The sequence below is a fragment of the Homo sapiens genome, chromosome 3 (assembly GCF_000001405.40).
Source record: "Homo sapiens chromosome 3, GRCh38.p14 Primary Assembly".
Taxonomy (NCBI): Eukaryota; Metazoa; Chordata; class Mammalia; order Primates; family Hominidae; genus Homo; species Homo sapiens.
In genome coordinates, this window is record NC_000003.12 from 107237097 (window position 1) to 107260494 (window position 23398).

At 38.5% G+C, this 23398-nt stretch overlaps 2 long non-coding RNA genes across 3 annotated transcripts in view; one reads left to right on the plus strand and one right to left on the minus strand.

The window, feature by feature from the left end:
* The window catches only part of LINC00882 (long intergenic non-protein coding RNA 882), a 130849-nt gene extending 127307 nt beyond the window's left edge, over nucleotides 1-3542 (minus strand). Inside the window, exon 1 of the long non-coding RNA NR_028303.1 lies at nucleotides 3347-3542. This is a non-coding gene — a long non-coding RNA (long intergenic non-protein coding RNA 882). The remainder of the gene's footprint in view (nucleotides 1-3346) is intronic.
* Nucleotides 3543-3595: 53 nt separating this feature from the next.
* DUBR (DPPA2 upstream binding RNA) overlaps nucleotides 3596-23398 on the plus strand; it is an 86273-nt gene continuing 66470 nt past the window's right edge. Inside the window, exons 1-2 of one of the 2 annotated variants that reach the window (NR_028301.1) lie at nucleotides 3596-3991; nucleotides 8912-11776. This is a non-coding gene — a long non-coding RNA (DPPA2 upstream binding RNA). Of the gene's footprint in view, nucleotides 3992-8911; nucleotides 11777-23398 lie in introns of those variants that run through there. The other variant, NR_028302.1, reaches the window with a different exon arrangement.

Sequence of the window (23398 nt, forward strand, 5' to 3'; positions counted from 1 at the left end):
CCTCTGGTCTTATCTCCTACTGTTCTCCTGCTTACCAACTTTGATCACACCAGCTCCCTTGCTGTTCCTTAGAGCACACTAGCTACTCTATGCCTCAGGGCCTTGGCCCTAGCTGTCCTCTGTCAGGAACAATCTTACCTCATTTATCCAAATGATTCATTCTTTTGCCTATTTCAAGTGTTTGTGCAAAAATCACTTCCTCCGTGAGGCCTTCCCTGATCACTATTTAAAATAGAATATTCTCCCCAGCATTTTTTATGCACCCTTTCTCCTTTATTTTCCTCAATAGCACGTATCACCATCAAATATGCTACATATTACACAGGTAAATATAATACAGGAGATAACTGAGACCAAACATATCAGCCAACAGAGGGCTCAACCTCAGTGTTAAAACAAAAAGAAAAACAGGTTGATTTCAAAGGAAAATCCAACTCTATGCTGTATATAAAAGACAAAGACCCACCTAAAACAAAACAATTCAGAAATGCTAACAATGAAAGGAAGGATGGGTAAAGTTCTACTGAGAAAATGCAAATTAAAAAAAGAAAGAATTGAGATTTTGCAATTCAATAAAATAAAATTCAGACCAAAAACCATTATTGAGACAAAGAACATCTTATAATCCTAAAGGCTACAATTCCCAGTGAAAATAAAAGATTTATGAAAAGGTATGCAGTGAATAACACAGCAGCTACTTTCATACAGTAGGAATTATAAGAGATTCAAAGAGAAATTGAAATACACTAATAATAGCAGACTATAGTACATTTCTCTTAATTAGACAAAAAAATACAAAAACACTTAGAAAATTGACTCTAATTTACAATACAGACATGTATGCCCCAGTAAATCACATAAAAATGATCTAAATATTCACCATAATATGATAAAACCAGAAATTTATAATCAAAACATAAGAAAGCCCCATTTTGAAATTTAAAATTTTCCTATTAAACATAGCTTGTCTCAAAGGGAAATATCAATTGCTAATGAGAATTTCTAGAAAAAAATGAAAACATGACATTAGAGTTGACAAGATGCAGCTAAAGAGTGTTCAGAACAAAACTGATAATTTAAATAAATAATGAAATTATGAATTAGATATTCCACTCAAAAAGAAAACGTTAGATATATTTAAGGTTCTTTTCCATTTTGGATTTTGGATTTAATTTTCTTTTTAATTGAGCAACCTAGATTTTTCTTTTTTTTTTTGAAGGAGTCTCCCTCTGTCACCCAGGCTGCAGTGCAGTGGCGCAATTGGCCAGTCTGCTCTTGAACTCCTGACCTTGAGTGATCCACCTGCCTCAGCCTCCCAAAGTGCTGGGATTACAGGCATGAGCCACTGCACCCAGCAAGCAACCTAGATTTTAAAACAACATGAGATAAATAAGCCTAATTGTATTTAACTACATCTAACATTTTTACTAATAGTTGTAATACTGGTAGATTTTGGAAACTATTATATATATTATGCAGAAAAGTAAATAATTCTGTTAATATCATTTAGGAGCCATGATTTTCAGCATAGGGGAAAAAAGATGCAATATAAAATCAAATAAGTAAAAACTCTATAACCTTCTATTAGAATTGGAATATCAACACAAATTTATTATTTATTTTCATCTTTCTTTGAAAAACTACATCTCTCCTAGATCTTGTGTTGAAAAGTCTGGGAAGTGATAAGCCATTTAACCATGAACATCTTTCAGTGCAGACTGTAGCATCCAAATACCTTTTTCACTGGAAGCAACAAGGACACCTTTGAGAAATGGCTGATTCTAGGTCTGAGGCAGTAAATGTACAATATGAGACTGGAACTCTTACAGTGTCAGAAAGCAAGTAAGCTATCAAGACATTCGAGCTTGTGTCAAATAAACAAAGGAGCCAAAAATGGCCAAAGACGGGCAATTTGAACTTCAAAATGGATAATCACTGCAATTATATAAAAGTGTAAAAAGAGATACAGATACAATCAACATGAAACTCCTAGAAGCAACAGGAGATTCAATATGGTAGCAAGATACAAAATTAGACATAGAAATCAGTACCTTCATTTATGTAAGAATCTAGCTGTTATAAGGAAAAGTGGAAGAGATAATCCCACTTACGATACCAACAAAAAAGAGAAATACTCTAAGAATAAACTTAACAAGTGAAAAACCTTTATGATGCTTCCTTGAAAGACACAAAGCTGAAACTTGAGCACGAGAAAAAATAAACCTTGCTTTTCAAAAGGAAAATGCAACATCATAAACTGAAAAGGTATGCAGAAGATTTTTTTTTTGAAAGTACTTTTATGGGGCTATATTCTATAGTTAACATGAAAAAATAACCCAGCATTAAAAAAACACTTAAGAAAACAGCAATGATGCAGTCTAGCCCTACCAGATACTGAAATATAGTCTCTAATAAAAACAGTATATTAGCCCATAAGTAGACAATAAGATCAATGCGGGGAAAAAAGAAAATATATCTTAGACCCAATTACAATGTGGAAATTTACGTATGTGATAAAAATATTGCAAATCGCTGGTCAGGGAGGTGCTTTATAAATTAAATGTTATGACAGCTAAAAAGTCATTTGAAAATAGATAAAATTGGATACATCACCTAGGTAGAATTCCTGCATATATGTTTGTGTGTACATATCTATTACTCGTGAATCTTATAATGAGGAACCAATCTGACATCTCCAAATTGAAGGATATTCTGGAAGACCACCGGGCTAGACTTTTCAAAAATGTCAATACCAGGAGAAACAAACAAAAAAGGCTAGGGAACTGCTCTATATTGAAGGAAGCGAAAGAGACTTGACAACTGCAATATGTGGTTCTTATTGATGCACTATGTGATTCTTGTTAAATCTCGGATTTACATTTTACAAACTACAGGGTAAAGAAGGACATTTTGGGACAATTGAGGAAATTCAAATATGAAATATAGATTATTGTAATATAACAATGTTACATTTCCTAAGTATGATGATGTGCATTGTGATCCTGTGGTCCTCAATTGAGGCAACTTTGTACCTCTCCTTTTTCCCCCAACCCTCACCACTACCCCTCCCCCCCTCAACCCCCCCAACCACACCGTTTGGGTTTGGCAGTGTCTGGAGGCATCGTTGGCTGTCACAACTGGGGGAGGGGGTTGCTACTGGCATCTAATGGGTAGAGGCCAAGGATGCTGCTAAATAGTGATTGTTTAGCACAGGACACCCCCACCCCACCCCGTCACCCCACCTTACGGGTACAGACAGCAAAAACTCATCCTGCCCAAAATGTCCATAGCGCGGGGTTGAGAAACCCTGATGTAGAAAAATCCCTTATTCTTAGGGGATACATACTGAGATATTAGGCTGAATCACATGACATTGTCTCTTGCGTAGGTCAAGTATCGGCAATATTTAAGGACGAAAGGTTATGACGTTCACAACAAACTCTCAAAATAATGAACAAGCCCCTTCCGCCCCGGCTGCCCCGCGACCTAGGGGACCCGAGAAGGGCGCACTCGCACGGGCCGCGGAGGCCAACGCCGAGCCTGCGCGGCGGGAGGCGCTGAGAACTCACTGCGCACGCGCCGGTCGGCTGGCCGCACCCACGCGGCGCAGCTCCCAAAGTTGCAGACAGCCCGGCGAACCGCGCAATGCGCTTCTTCTGCCTGCAGCAGAGAAAAGGAAAGAAAACTCCGCAGGGGCTCCGTTGGCTTCTCCACGAGTGACAACCATGTTTTCCCAGATAGAAGACCGGAGCCCTGCTCCTTTGCGATCCGCCGAGGGCTGCAGAGAGCATCCTCATCCATTTGGGCACCCCTGCCCAGGAAGAGCCCGGCCATCCCTTTCCGGACTGGATCCTTAAGAGGTGAATTTTCTTCCGTGGATTCCGATTTGCTCCGTCTGACCAGCCTAGGCAATCCAGCATCGCGTGGTACCAGTGCCGCTGGGCACACTGGCTTCACGCCGGCTCCGCCTCACCAGCAAGCGCATTCCCAGGTAAAAATTTTAAATACCTTAGAATTCTTCTGCCTAGACCCTCTAATCAAGAAGTTTACCCACTTTTTCTGTAAGGAGCCAGAAAGCAAATACTCTAGAATTTGGGCCTGGAACTGTCTCTGTAGCGTATTCGTCTTTGTTTTGAAAATGTAAAAACCACTCTTAGCTGCTGGCCTTACAAAAATAGAATCATGAGGACTGTGAAGATTAGAGCCTAATCACTAATTCACCCAGCACAGAGGCTAGAGCGCCAGTGAGTCCTCCGCCCCTTCCCAGGCCCGACCATAGTTTTGCAGTTAGGACCCAGGTTTTGTGAGGACTGGGACCCACCCAGGTTTAGTTCACAGTCTCTTGAATCCCTCCCTGCACCTGCACCTCTGCTCCTCCCCCTAGGCCGGTGGCCCTTGGTGAGTTTCTGGCAGTCTCCTAGGCCACCAGGAAACACTCCGACCAACTGCCACGCCCTCCTTTGCTCCAAAATGACAAGCTCTTTTCATCTGGGAGCAAAAGCTGAAGTCCCCACATTTGAACTAAATTAGTTTAGTGTAAAAGTAGTACAAGATTATCTCAGACAATTGTATTTTAATAGTATTTTTTTCTAGTGATAAATGTAATATATGTCTACTATGGTCATTTGGAAAATTCTGAGACGTATAGAGCAGAAAAGAAATTCTCCATAACCCTAACCCACAAAAAATAACTTTTGAAATGCTTGTGTATTTTTTAATTCTTTTTTAATGCATATTATAGGACAACTTACTGAACATTTGGATTTTTAGAAATATTTTTAATAAAACGTGTTGAAGTACAGCATACAAAAAAGTGTACAAATTACAAATACAGTTCAGTAAACTTTCAAAGATTAACACAAACATGTCCGGGCAACCACAACTCAGCTCAAGAAATTAACTAATAGTAGCATTCTTCATCCCCCTGTTAGTTTTGTCTATTCTGACATTTCACATGAAATGAATTACTTGGTAAATATTTTATAGTATTTGGTTTATTTCCCTTTATATTATATTTGAATTCATCCGTGTCGTTGCATGTAACAAGTCTTTTTTACAATTTTATTCTATGCTGTATGAAATTCAGTTATATGAGTATACACAATTTATTCTTTCTACTGTTATTTTTTCTTAATTACAGATTTATTGAGATATAATTCACACACCATACAGTTCATCTACTTAAAGTGTGCAATTCAATGTGTACAATTCATTGCTTTCAGCATATTCGCAGATATGTGCAACCATCACCACAGTCAATTTTAGAAAATTTTCATCACCTGGAAACTTCATACCCTTTAACTATCACTCCCGCAACCCCACTTCCCTATCCTTTCTAGCCCCAAGCAACCACTAATTTTTCTGCTCTATAGATTTCCCTATTCTGGACATCTCACAAAAATTGAACCATATGATATGAGGTCTTTTGTGACTGGTCCCTTATGCTGATACTGGACATTCGAGTTCTTTCCAGGTTTGGAGCTATTACAGATAATACTTCCGTGAACGTTATTCTGTGAATCGGTTCACATAGATACACATTTCTATTGCGATACATATCTAAGGTATGCTCATAACCAGCTATAATTACAGTGCCAAGCAGTTTTTCAAATTTATAGACCTGCCAGCATTGTATGATGAGAGTTCTCATTGTTCCACGTCCTCTCCAACATTTAGGGTTTATGTGGTTTTAATTTACATTTCTCGGATGACTAAAGATAAAGAGCATCTTTCATGTGATTATTGGCCACTCGGATATCCTCTTTAGTTAAGTGCCTTTTAGGCATTCACCCACTTTTCTATTGGCTAATCTTCTTCTACTTGATGTGTATATTCTAGATAAGTGCTGCAAACAAACACCTTTTCCTAATTAAACGCTTGCATTTTAACTTCCCATTTTTAGATTTTGATAAAGGTAAATCTTTTATTTTTATTGAGGTCTAATTTATCACTCTTTGTTCATGGTTAGTGCTTTCGCTAACCTGTCAGAAATCATTGTCTACCCCAAGGTGACAAGGGCATTCTCTTATGTTACCATCTGGAACCTTAAGTTTTTTCTTGGAACACTTAGATGTGCTAACTACCTAAAATTAATTTTGGCATATGGTGTGAAGTGAGGACTAGTTTTTTTTTTTTTTTTTTTTTTTTTTTTTAATGTAGCTATCCAACTGACCTAAGTTTTTTTTGGAAAAGAAAGTCCTTTCCCCACTGCTCTGCAACATCACCTTTGTCATAAATCAATAGAAATAGACCTACAGATGTTGGAATCAGTAGAAAAGGAATTTTAAAGATATTTATGGCTATTTTAAATTATTAAAGATTCTTACTAAGGGTAGATATGATAAATGAAGACAGGGAATTTCAAGAGAAATACAACTAATAGAAGAAGAACAAAATGGAACCCCTAGAACTGAAAATTATAATAACTGAAATTATTTGATGGGATTATCAGTAGATTGGACAACAGTAAGGAGAATCAGGAAGCTTAAAGATAGGTCAATAGAGGGCCAGGTACAGTGGCTCACACCTGTAGTCCCAGCCTACTTTGGGAAGCCTAGGCGAACGAATCATTTGAGGTCAGAGGTCAGAAATTTGAGACCAGCCAGGCCAACATGGTGAAACCCCATCTCTACTAAAAATACAAAAATTAGTTGAGTGTGGTGGTGCACACCTATAATCCCATCTACTCGGGAGGCTGAGGCTGGAAAATTGCTTGAACTAGGGAGATGGAGACTGCAGTGAGCTGAGATTGTACCATTGCACTCCACCTGGGCTACAGAGTGAGACTCCATCTCAAAAAAAAAGATAGATCAATAGAAATCATCCAAATTTAAAGTGCACTGAGAAAAAAAAAAGTTTATAATAAACAGAACATCAGTGACCCATGAAATAATGTCAAGACATCTAACTTACATGAAATTGGACTTTTAGAAGTCAAAGAGAGAAACTATCAGGCAGAAAAATACTTGAAAAAGTATTAGCAAAGGTTCCCCAAATATGATCAAATATATTTATCCAGAATGTTTACTTGTTTAATGAAGAGTTGATCCCATAACCTATTTTGCCATTAGTGGAGTTTAGAAGTTAGCATAAAAGGTTATAAAGTGTTACATCTCCATGAATGAGCAGCAGGGCATTTAAAAGTCACATTGATTGTAGAAAAAATACTTTGCTGGGTGGAAGGGTCCTGAGCATGGCTATTCTTTTAACATAAATGTTGCCTGCCCACTAACATTACCACCACCCCAATCATAGTAATGCCAAAATTCCTCACAGTTTTTCAAAATATCCCATTGGTGCACAGTACGGCCCTGCATCCACTGAGAACCCTTCTCTCCTGTGATCTGCCACTGCCTCGCTGTTCCAACCTTTCTAACCTCATCTTCTAATGCTCTATGTATCAAACCTCCCTGGCCTCCTTCCAGATCAGGGCTTTGGGGATTGCTTTTTCCTCTTCCAGAATGCTCCTGCCCCCAAATATTTATATAACTGACTCTTCCACAGGTCTTTGTTCTGATGTCATTTTTCTCAGTGAGACCTACCAATGAAACAAACCAAACAAAAAACTTGTACATTCTCTCAGCATCTGGATTAGTTTGCAGGGCTGCCATGGCAGAGCACCGCAGACCCAGTGGCTTAACCCTCAGAAAATTATTTTCTTAGCTCTGGAGACTAGAAGTCCAAGATCAAGATGGCAGCAGGTTTGATTTCTCCTGTGGCCTCTCTCCTTGGCCAGCCATTGTCCACTTTCTGTGTCCTCTCATGGTTTGTCCTCTGTGGGTGAGTGCCCCTGGTGTCTCTCTGCATGCCCAAATTTTCTCTTATAAAGACAGCATTTAGATTGGATTAGGGCCCATCCAAAGGGCCTCATTTTAACTTAATTGCCTCCTTAAAAACCATTTCTACAAATATAGTTACCTTATGAGGTACTAGGGGTTAGGCCTTCAACATATGAATTTTGGGGGTATATAATTCAGGCCATACACCATCTCTTGTTTATTTTCATCTGTCGCCCCTCCCCCCCACCTTTTTTTTTTTTTAGATGGAGTCTCACTCTCTCGCCCAGACTGGAGTGCAGTGAAGCAATCTCAGCTCACTGCAACCTCCACCCTCCCGGGTTCAAGTAATTCTCCTGCTTCAGCCTCCTGAGTAGCTAGGATTACAGGCATGCACCATCATACCTGGCTGTAGCCCTTATTTTAAATTCAATGTACTGTAATGATTTACTTGGTTTATTGTCTTAACTTTCTGTTCCACTGGAATACAGGTTCAATAAGGAGGGATTTTAATCAATTTTGTTCTCTGAAGTGTCTTCAGAACCAAATGAGTAAAAAATTATCATTGTTGACGTTTTCACTTCGTGCTAGCATATGGGCAATCTCAATTTATTTCTAATAACTCCCTGTATCTTTCAGAGCATTCCTTCATGAATGAAGAAAGCCCTGATAGTGTTCCAGTAATTTATGTTTTTTATGTTTGAATTTCTTAACAAAAAGAATTATACCACTAAAAGATCCAGCTTTTTTGTTTGTTTTACTTTTTGAAAAAAAATTTATATTGTTAATAGAGACAGGGTCTCACCATGTTGCCCAGGCTGGTCTCGAACTCCCGGACTCAAGTGATCCACCCTCCACAGCCTCCCAAAGTGCTGGGAGTACAGGTGTGAGCCACTACACCCAGCCAAGATCCAGCTTTTTTACCAGGGAAAATAAGAAATTTAATATGCTTGTTTCCAAAGCAACAAAAGCTTTACATGATTAAGTAGACTGAGGGCTCTTCCATATTAGACGAAAATATCCAGCCAAATTGCTGAGGACTCCCTCAGACAGGAAAAAAAATGTTTAGAGCCATCCTCACAAAGAAATTTTCCTGTTTAATTATAACCTAATTATGACAACTTTTTTTTCTTTAGGTGGTCAGGCTCAGGATGGACCATGAGCTTTCAAAAAGGAAAAAGGTGGAAATCCTCAACTATGCTGCCATCTGAATAAGTGTTTCTTTGTAGATGCACAGAGTCAAGGAAAATTACATCCCTGCATTATGTAATGTACCAACAACGCACTTACCCACTGTTTTAATCTAGGTTATTCTTGAAAGCAGAGCCTGAGACAAAGGTAGACACATTCTATTTATGAGTCTAACACCCAGGAGCAGGAATGAGAGATAGGGGAGTGAACTGGGGAAAAGGGAAACTAAGTCCGAGCAAAACCAGATACTGCTCTTATCAAGTGGTCCACCCCTATTAATGGCTACATAATGCAGAACTTTCTCAGGATTCTTCTTAAACTTTATCTCAGAACTGTCTGCCTCAGGGAGAAAGGAGAAGTATTTCTCCATCAGCAGCCACCTCCTGTGTGTTGAGGGCTGCTCCTTTGGGGCATTAACCCACTGCCTCCACCACCCCAACCCTCTGGGCTGCAAAGAGCTAGCTGACAGTCCAGCTGGTACCTTAGCATCACACATTGCTGCATCAGAGAGGTCTTAAGACAGGAAGCTAGAGTCTTGGTGCATGCTCGAAGTGAGACGGTGTCAGCACAGAGCAGGGTAAAATCTTCCCGTTAACTCTTCACCAGAGCTATGACTGGAATCAGAGGTTGAAAAGATGTGAGACTGTACCCAAGAAGCATCTTATAAGCCTACGTAATATACTGTTAGACTCATCGAAATCTATTTCCTCCCTTCTTTATAATCAAAACTTCAGTGTCCAGAATAAAGTTGGCAGAAGGGTTAAATTGGAAAGTTAAATGTACTAGAAGGTGTACATTTATAAGTTTTGACCTTGAGTCGTGTTCAAGGAGAAAGTGACATTGGAACTTGGAAAATTTAAAAATGATTCTACTTGAAAAATTTGACCATTGCATAGAAATATTAGCTATCGTCTAATCTTTTGTAATCTTAGAAACAATCGTGAATTGTTTGGTGAAAAATGAAAAAATAACCATTTCTTATGTCTCCGTGACCTTTATAGACCAATGTCACCAACTTTTCCTAAGGTAATTGTTTCCTACTGTCAAATAGCTCTAGTGATATAAATCTTAACAATCAATGAAGGGAAAACTGGTGGAAACATAGGAGGAAAAATACTGGGATAATTTTCATCACAAAGTATTGGCATTAACATTGGTTAGAATAGGGGAGAAACTGCATGACTTGACAACTGGACATTCCTGTATGTTGTATGAGGCCCTGTCTTAACAGAAATAGTGATGTCATCATCATCCTCTCTTATTTGGTCTTGAATTGCCACCAATCGGATAAAACCTTTGAATTATTTAACTCAATATATGTTAAGTTTCTACTATGTGCTGTGTATTGGTACTATAAATATGAATAAGACATAAGATATTACATTCAAAAACATCAGAATACATGTTCTTTTAAAGTATACCCCAAAACATTTACCATGTGTTCTGGGGCGCATGTTAGGCTGGATCACAAATCAAGTCTCAAGAATTTCAAAAGATTGAAATCATATAGAGTATGAATTAAACCAGAAATCAAGTACATAAAGGTAACAAAAAATTTCCAAAATGCATTAATTTAAGGAACATACACCTCATGACCCATGAGCCAAAAAATAAATCACGGCAAAATTGCAAAAATATTTTGAAATGAATTTTAAAGAAAATACTTAGCATATTAAATACTTAGCATATTAAAGCTCTAAGTACATATGTTAGAAATTTTACCGAAAGGTTGGCTATCAGTGTTTCCAGAAGCCAGGGAAAAAGTTTATACAATTTGATCGCTGAGGCAGGGAAACAAAGTGAGACCTCCGATCGCCCTGCCTTTCTGAGGTGAGCACTCTGGATCCCATCGCAGGAGATCAGAGTCTTGCTGAGTTGAGGAGAGGAAGATTGGAGTTGATACTGAGATAGCTTGAATTTTCAGGACAAAGTATCAACAAGGAGGAAGGTAGACAAAAAAATCCAGAAATCTATGTAGAGACCCCATTGTGTACATTGCGGAACACTAAGCCTAACAATTCTCAAAATTAGCGTGAGATTGGGAAATATCTAATTTCCATCCAGCCACAGTGGAGAGTCCTGACTGAAAACCAGGCATTCGCTAAAGATCCCAGAAAGGTTGTGTGTTACATACGTAGGGCTAAACTATCCTGACTAAAAACTACACTACACTTGCTCCTCACCCCCACAAAAAGCTTAAAAACAAGCCTCAATAGTATAAAGCTGATCTGTAAGTAACTAAACTACCTGCAGAACAAAGTCCAAATTTATTAGTTCCAGTACTCCAAAAAAAACACATGTAAAAAAAAAATAGATTTACAAGACATTTATTTGGGGAAAAAAAGAATGCCTGAGGGTTGAAATGGAGAGGAAGCCAGAGAGACAGAGTCCTCAGAATACATAAAATTTCTGGCCTCCATGGAGGTGTGATGGTTAATTTTATGCATGTCAACTTCGCTGGGCCACAGGATGCCCCATATATGATCGAACATTATTTCTGGTTGTGTTCATGAAGCTTTTTCTGGAGGAAATTCGCATTTGAATTGATGGACTGAATAAAGCAGATTGCAGTCCCCAGTGTGGATGGGCTTGATCCAGTCTTCTAAGGACCCAAATAAAATAGGTGGAGGAAGCTTGAATTTTCTGCCTGACTGTGGCGCTGGGACACCCATCTTCTCCTGCCCTTGAACTGGGACTGACACCATCAGTGCTCCTGGTTCTCAGACCTTCGGACAGCAGACTTGGGGCCTTCTCGGCCTCCATTATTGTGTAAGCCAATTCCTTATAATAAATAAGGGTTTATTTATTGATAAATCCTTATAGGTTGATTATAAATCCTTATTAATTGATTGATAGAGCCATAGGTTTTATTGATCCTGTTTCTCTGGAGAACCCTGACTAATACAGAAGGAGAGAGGGAAGAAAGGCGGGTTGAGTAGCAGAAAGCTTAGGCTGTAGCACAATTCCGATAAAGTTTAAGGTCAGCTGATGAAGAACACTCAAACCAAAGTCGCCCATTGGAGGAGCCCCCTACCTCACAGGAATAGGCCTGCATTATTAGTATACCTTCTTCATTCAGTTATTGTTATTCTTATGGAAACAACCCATGGGAAATGTAGCCTTGGCATGACTGTATCAATGGATTCAGAGAGCAGTAGCGGGGACCCCCCCAGTCAATTACGTTCCACAGCAAGAGATCTCAGTGGTGCATATCCACTGCTGGCTCAGTCCACCCCTTGGGCTGCACAGCTCTATTCAGGCCTAGCTGCCAGGAAGATTACTAGGTATCATTGTCAACTCAGGCTCTGTGCCCAGTAAACCTGGAAATGTCTGGATATTCTTCCTTGCCAGCATATAGTCATAAATCTATTTGGGGAAGAACTTGCCATTTCATCAAAGTCTGTACATGTATAGCAGGGTTCTTCCTCCTAGTGACCTGTGACCTAGTAACCCAGCCACCTATGGGTTCTTCCATCTGTGGCTTCCTTACCTGAAAAGTGCTTCAGGTCTAGGAACTGAGAAAGGGATTGTGATGTGTCATTGGAGCCAGTGCGGTTCCATTCGTGCCTTATTTGGTTATAGGCGTTAAGCAGCATTCTTGTTAGATGCCCATCTATTTTGCCTATAGGGGTGTTACTTTCAATTAATTATCTCCTAAACACCCTGTGAATCAAACCCCCTTAACTACCCCTCCAATTTCACCAGTTGTTATAGTAATTATGGCCTCTTGACTTTTGGTAATTAAGCACTAGTCCTCCAGAGCCCTCTATTACTTGAGGGTCCATTACCCCTGAATCATATTAACAATCCCAGCTCTGTGACCACCTCATTTACCATCAGCCCTGGTCTAAAGAGTAAAGCCACTACTGCACTTAGTGATACTGGTACCTTCTCACAGGCTCATTCTTGGTGGCCTTAGTGAATTGTCACTATTTCATGACATATTCATCACAGTATATCCATCACATATTCATTCATCTGACCCTTATGAAGGTGTGATGGTTAATTTCATCACAGTACATACATGCCATTGTATAGCAGGTCCTTAACTAATATAGCAACACCAACGTTCTCAGGCAGAACCAATAGACCCTGTTGAAGGGCAGGCAAGCCCAGAGCAAACCATCTATATGCAGTTCTTTTAACAGCCTGCAAGGCACTGTAAGATTAGGGAGACGTTTATCGAATTATGTTCTGTGGAAAACTAGTTCCATAGGATATGAACTGATGTCAGGAGAAAAATTAAATTAGAAATTTGCTTCAGTGCCAGATTCTCAAAGCCATTCGTATGTGAATGTTTAGTGCAACTCTCCAAAAGAGATGATTTGATGTGTTACATGTGGCAGTAGTATGATGTGCAGCCCAGATCCCCCTTCAAAGAACGGCTTGCTCCCCACTTGCTGGGTGTGATGTTAGCAGGCAGCCTGCAGCTGTCAGCCCTCTTCAGGAATTGGCATAGCTGTAGAAAACCACTTCACCTAAGGTCACACTTTTTTGTGGAGTGGCCCATAGCCAAGGATTGATCAGTGTGGAGATACAAAGTTGTTCTCTTGCCCATCTGAGGACATCTCCGAGGGCCGTTTTAACTCCAGAGCTCCCTGTGGGGTTGGCCAAGGCTGTCATTGGACCTACATTATAACTCATTTTCTCCCAATTCCGCTTCTCTCTCTCTTTGAACAAATGTTTGGCAAAAGGCACTTCTTAATAAATATCCTGCAATTAAAGTATATCTCAGAATCTGCATCCTGGAGAATACTGTCTGAGACACCCCACTTTCTAATTTTGTTTGCCCATCAAAGCCCATTCCCCGCCCCCCTTTTTTTTTTGACAGAGGCTTCTTCTTTCACCTGGAAGGGAGTGCAGTGGTGCAATCTCGGCTCACTGCAGCCTCTGCCTCCCAGGCTCAAGCAATTATCCTGCCTCAGCCTCCCGAGTAGCTGGGATTACAGGTACCCACCACCACGCCTGTCTAACTTTTTGTATTTTTAGTGTAGATGGGGGTTTCACCATGTTAGTGAGGCTAGTCTCAAATTCCTGACCTCAAGTGATCCGCCCGCCTGGGCTTCCCAAGTGCTGGGATTACAGGTGTGAGCCACTGTGCCTGGCCTAAAACCCTTTTTCATAGAGTACCTAACAAGAGTAGGCCTTAAGAAATATATTCTGGATGCTGGTAAGTGCAGGTGTGAGAACTAAGTACCTATGTGGAAAGTAAGGGGAGGGGTACCCGAGACTTAAATCTCAGCTTATGAATTCCTTTGAGATTTGAAACTAGCTTAATTTTGATGTGTAACTCTAATGCTTAAAGTACTGCAGGATCTACTATCTATGGAGGTGCTACGGAGAGGATCTAAATATTATGTGACCTATGCAAATAAATTTTCTTTTCTCTGTAACAGTGTTTAAAACTCTAAGATAATCCGTGGTTGTCAGGTAAAATGCACTCATGTCTATCTGACAGATACAAATGTTTTGCATTCCAGCTGCTTTTAGATATTTAACGGGAGAGGAAAAGAGAAAATATGATTAAAGCCTTTGAAAGTCCATTTCCAAGAAATAAAAACTGCAGTAGGAATTCTACAAAACTGAAAAATCTTCAGGACTGGAAGATCTATCCAGAAAAGCCCAGTGGATTATAATAACTTATTAAAATATTTGTTTGGCAAGCCACTGACTAATACCACTTTAAGATATGAATGCATTACCAAAAAAAATTGGAGTGAGTAGTTTTTACAAGTCTTTGAAATAATCATATTTGTATTTTGACACTAATTTGAAACAAGGAGCTGGCTTGAAATATTAAACCTAAGTGATCAGAGACAATGAGCTATCAGACTGCATGATCAACGTAGAGCAATCTCCACATAAGATGAGATGCATGCAGCCTCTACAAATTTGGCTTGGGGAGGAGTTTGCTTCGCTCGCTTGAATAAGCCACTGTCTATGGCTCACAAGGGTCCCGTTCTTAATGAGGTGGTGCGTAGCAGCAACACACTGTGAATCCAAATAGCAGATGGCAACACTGTTGAGTAGGCTGGCAGTCTGATGTCTAGCCACCAACTGGCAGCAATCATTATTAAACTGATTCATGTGCCCAGGGAAAATCTTCATAAGAGTCTTAGCAAATGTGAGCAGCAAGAAGCAAATGATCTGCTATTCCTATCTGCTATGAGTACTACCTATATTTCTTAAAATATTTTTCCCCAGTGCAACCTACACAAAGAAATGGCATGTTATGTGCACTGGAGGCCCTATTCCTTTCCTATAGATGCATGTATACCTTTAAACATGATAGCTGTGATTTCTCTATTTGGTGAATAGCTTTCCCTTGACGGAAATAGCTTCATAGCATTCACCCTATGGATTTGTTGCACATATTCAATGATAGGCAAGCACTCATAGATTCTGTAAATAAATAACTGAACATATTCTATCTCACATAATGAAGCAATGGCCTACATTGCTCATAGTCCATCTACATGAGACAGGTAACTCATCCTTGGGTGAAAAGTTTGTTACACTCACACTTGGTTAGGAAAGCAGACTAAGAAAGGCTCTAGCTTTAGAAAACTTATGTAAGGATCTTTCTACAAGAAAATCTTAAAGGTATACATTTAAAAGTTAAGTCTTTATGCTGGGTGCAGTAGCTCATGCCTGCAATCTCAGCACTTTGGGAGGCCAAGGCGGGCAGATCACGAAGTTAGGAGCTTGAGACTAGCCCGGCCAACATGGTGAAACCCCATCTCTACTAAAAATACAAAAAATTAGCTGGGCGTGGTGGCACATGCCTGTAATCTCAGCTACTCAGGAGGCTGAGGCAGGAGAATTGCTTGAACCCAGGAGGCAGAGGTTGCAGTGAGCAGAGATCACACCATTGCACTCCAGCCTGGGCAACAGAGCAAGACTCCGTCTCAAAATAAATAAATAAATAAAAGTTCTGTCTTTACAAACCAAAATGCTAAACAAATAGCATTTTTTTCCAAATGTTGAAAGTATGTGTTGTTTGTAACCAATAAAGCCAATTTCCACAACTTTATATGTTAATAAACAAGCCTTAAGGTAAGGCTTTTATTGAAAAACAAAACCCTGCTTTATTCACTTACAAAATACTTACAGTTAAATTAAAAAACAAAAATTCTAGCCATTCTCTAAATCTTCATTACATTTTTAAAAATTAAGATACTAGAATTCTTTTACATGCTCATAATAACAAGGGGAAAGCTGCAGTTAAATGTCAGATATTCCACATGTTAAAAAATATATTTTATTTTATGTTCCATTTATGGTAATTTTTTAATAGAAGCAAAATTTAAAATCTTTTTTAAGAAGTAATAAAATCACTCTGAATGGATTATTTTTGGCTTTATCAATTTGATAAATCAATCCAGGCTGAAATATCATTTATAACTTCTAGAGTGAGTGCCCCTGCTCTTGTCTCAAATATGAGAGTGATTATCAACCAAAGTTAGATACCCCAGCCCTGGCAGTCAAACTCAAAAGCAAGCTTGCACGCCGTCTCTCAAGTCTCTCAGCATTCTCCCCAAACAAGAAATCAAGTGCCAGAGCTTATACACTTAATATTTGAGACCAAAAAAGAAAACTCCAAACAAGAGATTTACTCAAATGTGCTTGTCTCCCAGTTACTTTATAAGAAGTAAATCCATGTCAGAAGAAAAGATGCCCATGTCTTGTTCTGCATGGGAAATAAGTGCCATGTACTAAAAGAAGCCTAAAAATGGTGGCACAAGTTTCTTTAAATGGCTAAAATCCCTCAAAATACTGAACATCTCATCAGACCATCAAGAGTTATGTTTTTTGTCACACATTATGAAATTCTAGATATCCCAGCCTGGGCAATATGGAAAACCTCGTCTCTACAAAAAATGAAAAACTATCCAGGTGTGGTGCCCCATGCCTATAGTCCCAGCTACTTGGTAGGCTGAGGTGGGAGGATTGTTTGAGCCTGAGAGGCAGAGGTTGCAGTAAGTCATGATTGTGCCACTGCACTTCAGCCTGGATGATAGAGCAAGACTGTGTCTCAAAAAAAAATAATTCTAGATATTTGAAAAATAAGATAGGGTGATGAATGTTTATCACCGGATATTAGGGTGTACTCAATGGTAAGTATAAAGGGAAACCAGCAATGGGTAGGCTAGTTCAAAAGATGTATTATATTTCCAGATATTCTGATAACAGTGATAAAGACTTGATGGTGAATAGGTATGTCGATAGCAGTACTGCAGATGCTCAGTTTGAGTAAGTCACCCACACTACCAAAAGATGAATATTCTTTTTGAGAACAGAAGAATTCTAGTAATCATGAGCTAAGGATGCTGGAAATTCATTCCTGAAAATGTATATGTACCAAGTAGTTGTTTTCTGTTCTCCCATTCTTCATTAAACCTGTCCTTATCAAGAACACCAATGATGTCCATCTTGTCCAAATCAACGTTTCATACTCAGACTCTCACTTACTCTAATTCTCAGAGGCATTTAATGCAGTTGATCACTACCATCATCTGGAAACACTTCCTTGGCTTGGTTTCTAGAACAACAGTATATGACTAGTTTTCCTTTTTCCTTATTGGAAGTTCATTGTCCATCTCCTGTTTAGCTCCTTATCAAAATCCTGACCTTTGACATTTGACTGTTGTTCTTAAATACACTGTGTAGATTCTGATATCTGAATGAACTAGACACTCTGCTATGTACATTCTAATGAGGACAGGGACTATGTGTGTCTGGTTCACTGCCAATGTCTAATACATGGTGGACATTCAAATATTCGTTGAAGGAATGAACGAATACTAGAACAACATATGCAGTTTGAATAGATGAGTGTAAGTATAATGAGGATGATCTGGATATTAAATAGTTCCTAACATTATTTAATTGAGGTAGGTTTTAAATATTAGAATCCTCATCTTTTTAGAGTATGAAATTGATATTTAGACAGGTCAAATAACTTGCCCAAGAACACACAGCTACAAAGTGTCAGAGCTGAGACGTCTTCTGCTGTGCTAGTCCAAGGTCATGCTCTTGACTCAGTGCTATACTTATTGATAAATACAACAGAAAATGAGGAATAGGAACCCGAGTTCAGCTTATATTTCTCCTGGTCCTCTGCTACAACTGCGGTTGATGTTTCTGATGGTAGCAGGACTACAAATACTAGTTGTTGTTGTTGGTTTTTTTTTTTTTTACATTCAGAAAGAAGAGGATCGTGTCCTCATCTGTAAAATAGAAATGAAAATGCTACCAATCTACCTTCTTTTGATGGTAATTTAAGGCTAAAATAAGATAATCGACATGCCACATATAAGTCACAATACCAAAATCATGGGGGATTTTCATGTATTAATTATTACTACTTGGAGGTACTAAAAGAAGATCTGAAGTGGAGAGACAAAAAATGTCCTTACTGATTAGAGAAGCAGGAAGAAGGCAGTCAAGAAGGAGCTAGAACATTCCTTACTGACCTAACTCAGGAAAAAAAAAGAAACGCAATATTCTGTGGTTCCCCTGTTAACAGATAACAAACACCCACTACACAATTAAAGAATTAAAAGTTCATTGACTTAGCCATACTACATTTTCTTTTAAAACAAAAATCATAAGGACAAAAATCTGCTGATGCTGTGAGATAAAACCGATGATTCTGCAGTCAATTTGTTTTGTACCTGTGTGGTTTTACCTTCCATTCACCCACTGAGACATTACAATCAGTGTATCCTAGGGATGATTGGAGATAAAGTAGGCAGAGGAAATTAGGTTAATGAGGAAGCATAGAGAAAGGCAGTCCTGGGACCTCCTGTTCTTCAGAATATACAGGTCTTTAAACTGTAATCAGGTAGCACAGTTAGGAATATTCTCAAAATTTACTTTCACCACTGGATTCCAGCTTGTAATATTCAATTACTATAGAAAATGATGATCAGAATGGACTTAAATTCTGAAACTTCACTTAGGGATTTTATTCAGGTTATCTTCTTCCTTTGTTGGCAATATAGCCATCAAATCTCCATTAGGGAGAGATACCCAGGTTTCTTGGTCATGGTTGTGTCTCCACTGTGAGTGTCACACAAGACATATAAGTCAGTTAACAAAAATATTTCCTAAATGAAAGAATGCAGATGGCTGACTGGGTTGAGCTTTGGAGTCACTCAGATCAATATTTAAATCTCAGTTGAGGTACTTAGCAAATAAAAGACAGCCTCAGCCTCAATACGCTCATTATTTAAATTGATAGAGTCCTCACAAGGGAGTTTTAAAGATCTCATGATAATTTACTTAAAGTAATTAGATTGCCTGGCACAGCCAGTTTTCAATAAAGCATGGCCGTTATTATCAAAGTTGCTAATCATTGAAATGGCAATACCAAAATTGGCTGTAATTTTATTTTCACTAGTTTTTGATTGTTTGTAAAAAGAGAGATCTGTATGTGTGTTTAGAGATAACCTATTCTAGAGATTTAGGAACCTATCCAACAACCACTTTGTCTTTTGTGCTGCTACAGCAGAATGACTGAGACTGGGTAATTTATAATGCACAGAAATGTATTGGCTCACAGTCCTGGAGGATGGGAAGTCCAAGGTCAAGATGCCAATATTTGGCAAGGACCTTCTTGCTGCATCCACACATGGTGGAAGAAGAGGGTGAAAGAAGGGGCTGAACTTGCCCTTTTATGGTGGTACTGATCCCACCCATGATTCGGGAACCCTCGTGACCTAACTCTTACAAGTCAATGGTACTTAAATTTTAACATGAGTTTTCAAACCATAAAACACCTCCAAGGTGGTTTTTAACTTTACTTATTAATTGATTAAATTAATTAATTAAATTGGGTCCAAAGAACAATTGCTAAGCATTTACTATGCGCTAAGATGAATGAGTGCTTTTCTTCATTTCAAAGTCTTCCCATTGCTTTAGTCTCTGGAGATCAGCTTTCATGGTGCCTATACTTGAGTGATGAGTAGCAAGGCCATGTGAAGTCGAAGAGACATGAACAAGAAATGTGACATGGTTCATGATGGCTGAAGGGAAATATGGCTGCTAATAAATTTGCAGTCAGATCATGGAAGACTTTAAATGATGAAGTGAAATATTTGGACTTCATTCAAGCCTTTTGGAGAGAAATGTCAAAAACATTAACCTCACAATGAAGTGAAAAACAAAGCTAGAAGTCTTGTTGTAGATAACAAACTGACTCAAGGAACACACATATTGTTAAGACTGGAAGAATGGCATTTAAAGTTCTTTCTAGTAGTGTTTGAAATATATCAGAAGGAAGGAAGTCTGGAACTAAGGTCATAAAAGGTAGGAAGCTATTTCAATAGGTCAAGAGTGAGGTAATAAGAGGCTAAACCAAGGCAGAAAAAAAGACACATGAGATATGCTGGGTGGTGCTCCACGACTCTTCATAACTTTGGGCTAACTCCTTTAAAGCCAGGGAATTTGGTTAAATAAAAAAATGGAAATCCACATCTGTCTCAACATTTGTACTTTCAGAGGTATAAATGTTTCCATTTTAAAAATTATACATGAAACAAATAGCAAGTTAATCTGGCATACTGTCATGCTAGCCAGAAATGTGTGTGAGCAGTTTTGTAAACTGTGCCTTCTTTTCCATTCTAGCATTACTCTGTCTTTTTCCATGCTGTCCTTGTCTTCCTCCTGGATTTTCAGTTGACTCCTCCCTTAAACTTTAGATTTAGCTGGCAAGTACAAAACCCCTTGCAACCAGCAAGACATATTCTTCTAACTTTGAATCTGGCCCATTTTTGTGTGATGACACTTTCCTAAAGAGACTAATATTGTATCTGTGAGAAAAAGTCCGATGTGTGACTTTTCATTATAAAAATATCCACTGAGTACATAACATTACTCAAAAAAACAAGAAAGTGTACAGAACAAGTAAACAACTAAAAGGGCAGCAAGACAAGATGAATGTTTCCTAGTCAAAACATGAGAATACATTTTGTTATCTGTGAAATGTAGAAAGGTTATCCCGAGAGATAGCTAAGGTTAAAAAGTACTATGAGAGATACACTCACACACAATTATAGATAAATATACTAATAGAGATATATAAATACCAAATTCATCATATTCACTCTTCCCCAATGGCTGCTCTTTTGTATCCCACCCAACTCCACTCTATTATTCATTGGGTTATTAAAATCAGAGACCTGGGAAGCACACTTAACTTGTCCCTTCCCCTAATCTCCCATACCTAATTACTAAAAATCTTCTAGTTATATTCTATTAACTAAATTTACCTTGCCCTTACCTAATTCCTTTGCCCTTACCTAATTTGTATAGGATAAAGTACAAACTCTTTAGTATGGCATAAAGGTCCATTAGATAGAGCCACATTACAACCTTATCTCCTATCCTTCCCCCATTATATACACATGAACTTGCTGTTCCCTCTGCTTGGAATGATTCCAAAAAGGAGCAAGGATCATTTCCTCTGAGAACCCTACAATGCTCCCTGCAGCCCAAGCATACTTTCTTAAAGCACTTAATACTTACCCTCAATATTTTCTATAACTTACCTGCCTCTACCACTAGACTTAATGAAATTCTTGAAGTTAGAGATGTTGCTGCATCTATCACAGTGAGAATCATCCAAAGCACGCACAAGCACACACCATTTATTGTCACTGTTAATATGACTTTACGATTCAACTACCATCATTAGCATCTCTTCACTATTTCAAGAGACTTCTGCCCAGGAAGATTACCTTACAAGTGATAATACAGTATTGTTCATCCCCGGAACTTCTCTGAAATCCATCAATTCTTCACTAGAAAATATTAACCAGCAGTTCACATCCTGAGATTCTTTACATAATGAATGTAGATGAAATAAATATATTTAAATATATTACAATTATAGTAATGTAATAGGGAATGGAGGAGACTTATTAATGAATAAAATGTACAAATTAAAGTACACTTTACTCTCTTTCTCTATAGTGTCTGACAATTATTCCCACTACTCAAAGTAAAAATACCAAGACAATGAGAAGGAGAAAATCTTCACAATTTTCTGAGCTCTGTAAAGAAATGCTTTTTTTCAGGTAAATCTTTGATCAAAACAAAGGCATGGTCAAAAATATCCTTAAACAGTCAATCCTGCACAGTGCTTGAGTCTATGCAACTACCAGTGACATGGAAATTGACTGATGGTGATTTTTAATATACCAAAAATTTTTAGAACAAAAAATAACCACACATACGCTGATCTGCTTAAAATACAATACATGTTAGTATTTACTGGGCTTTCATTCATCTCATCTCCTTTTCTTCTTTTACTCAATTCATTTTACCTAAACTCTCACCCTTTGCTTACTTCTAATAATCTTTCTCTCTGTCCTGTAGCAAGCATGAACTGCCATCAGAAAAATTGCCTATAAATTCAGCTTTCCCTTTGGTTAGTCTCTATAACCTTTTTGCTTTAAATGAAACTTGGCAGTGCCCTGAGAACACAACTTACCCTTGATCCTTCTCTCATACTCTATCTTGGTTGATTCCAGTGCTACAGAGAAAAAATGCACAAGATAAGCTTGGAATATCTTGTCATACACATAACAAAGAAGATAGTGAAGACACCCAAGGTCATATTAGGAGGACCCAGGAGCTAACTTAGAGAGGCTTTCAGTGGTCAAAGATAGGAACATTTTAACATCATTAAGAATAACACTACAATGGCGAGGCATGGTGGCTCATTCCTATAATCGCAGCATTTTAGGAGGCTGAGACAAGAGGATTACTGGAGTCCAGGAATTTGAGAACAGCCTGGGCAACATGGTGAAACCTCATCTTTATTAAAAATACAAAAACTAGTTGGGCATGGTGGTGCACACCTATAGTCCCAGCTACTCAGGAGGCTGAGGCAGGAAGATCCCTTGAGTCCAGGAGATTGGGTCCACAGTGAGCTGTGATTGTGCCACTGCACTCTGGCCTGGGTGATGGAGCAAGACCCTGTCTCAAAAATAAATAAATAAAAAGAATCATACCTACAATGGATTAAAGCATAGCAAATATGTTTAAATCTGTGAGTTCCTAACTATACTAAAAATTATTGGGGATGCCAGGGAATCATCTCATTATTTTGAAAACATGATTTTGAAACAATCATGTATTTACATGAGCTGTAACACTGTTCTATTAAATAGGAGATGAAGGAAAATTTCTGTTTGTAAAACTGTTCTAAGGGATTTCCAATCTCAGCCATGCATGATAAAATAGCTGGTATTGAACTAACCCTTCTGCCAAAAACAACTATAAAAGCTGGTTGACATACAAATCAACTGTTTGAAGGCATTGGCAAACAAACAGTACAGGCTGGACTTTCTCAGTCCCTGAAAGAAGGAAAGCACATATGGTGAGGTCTGTATTCATGCTATGACTTTTTTCTGAGAGCATTT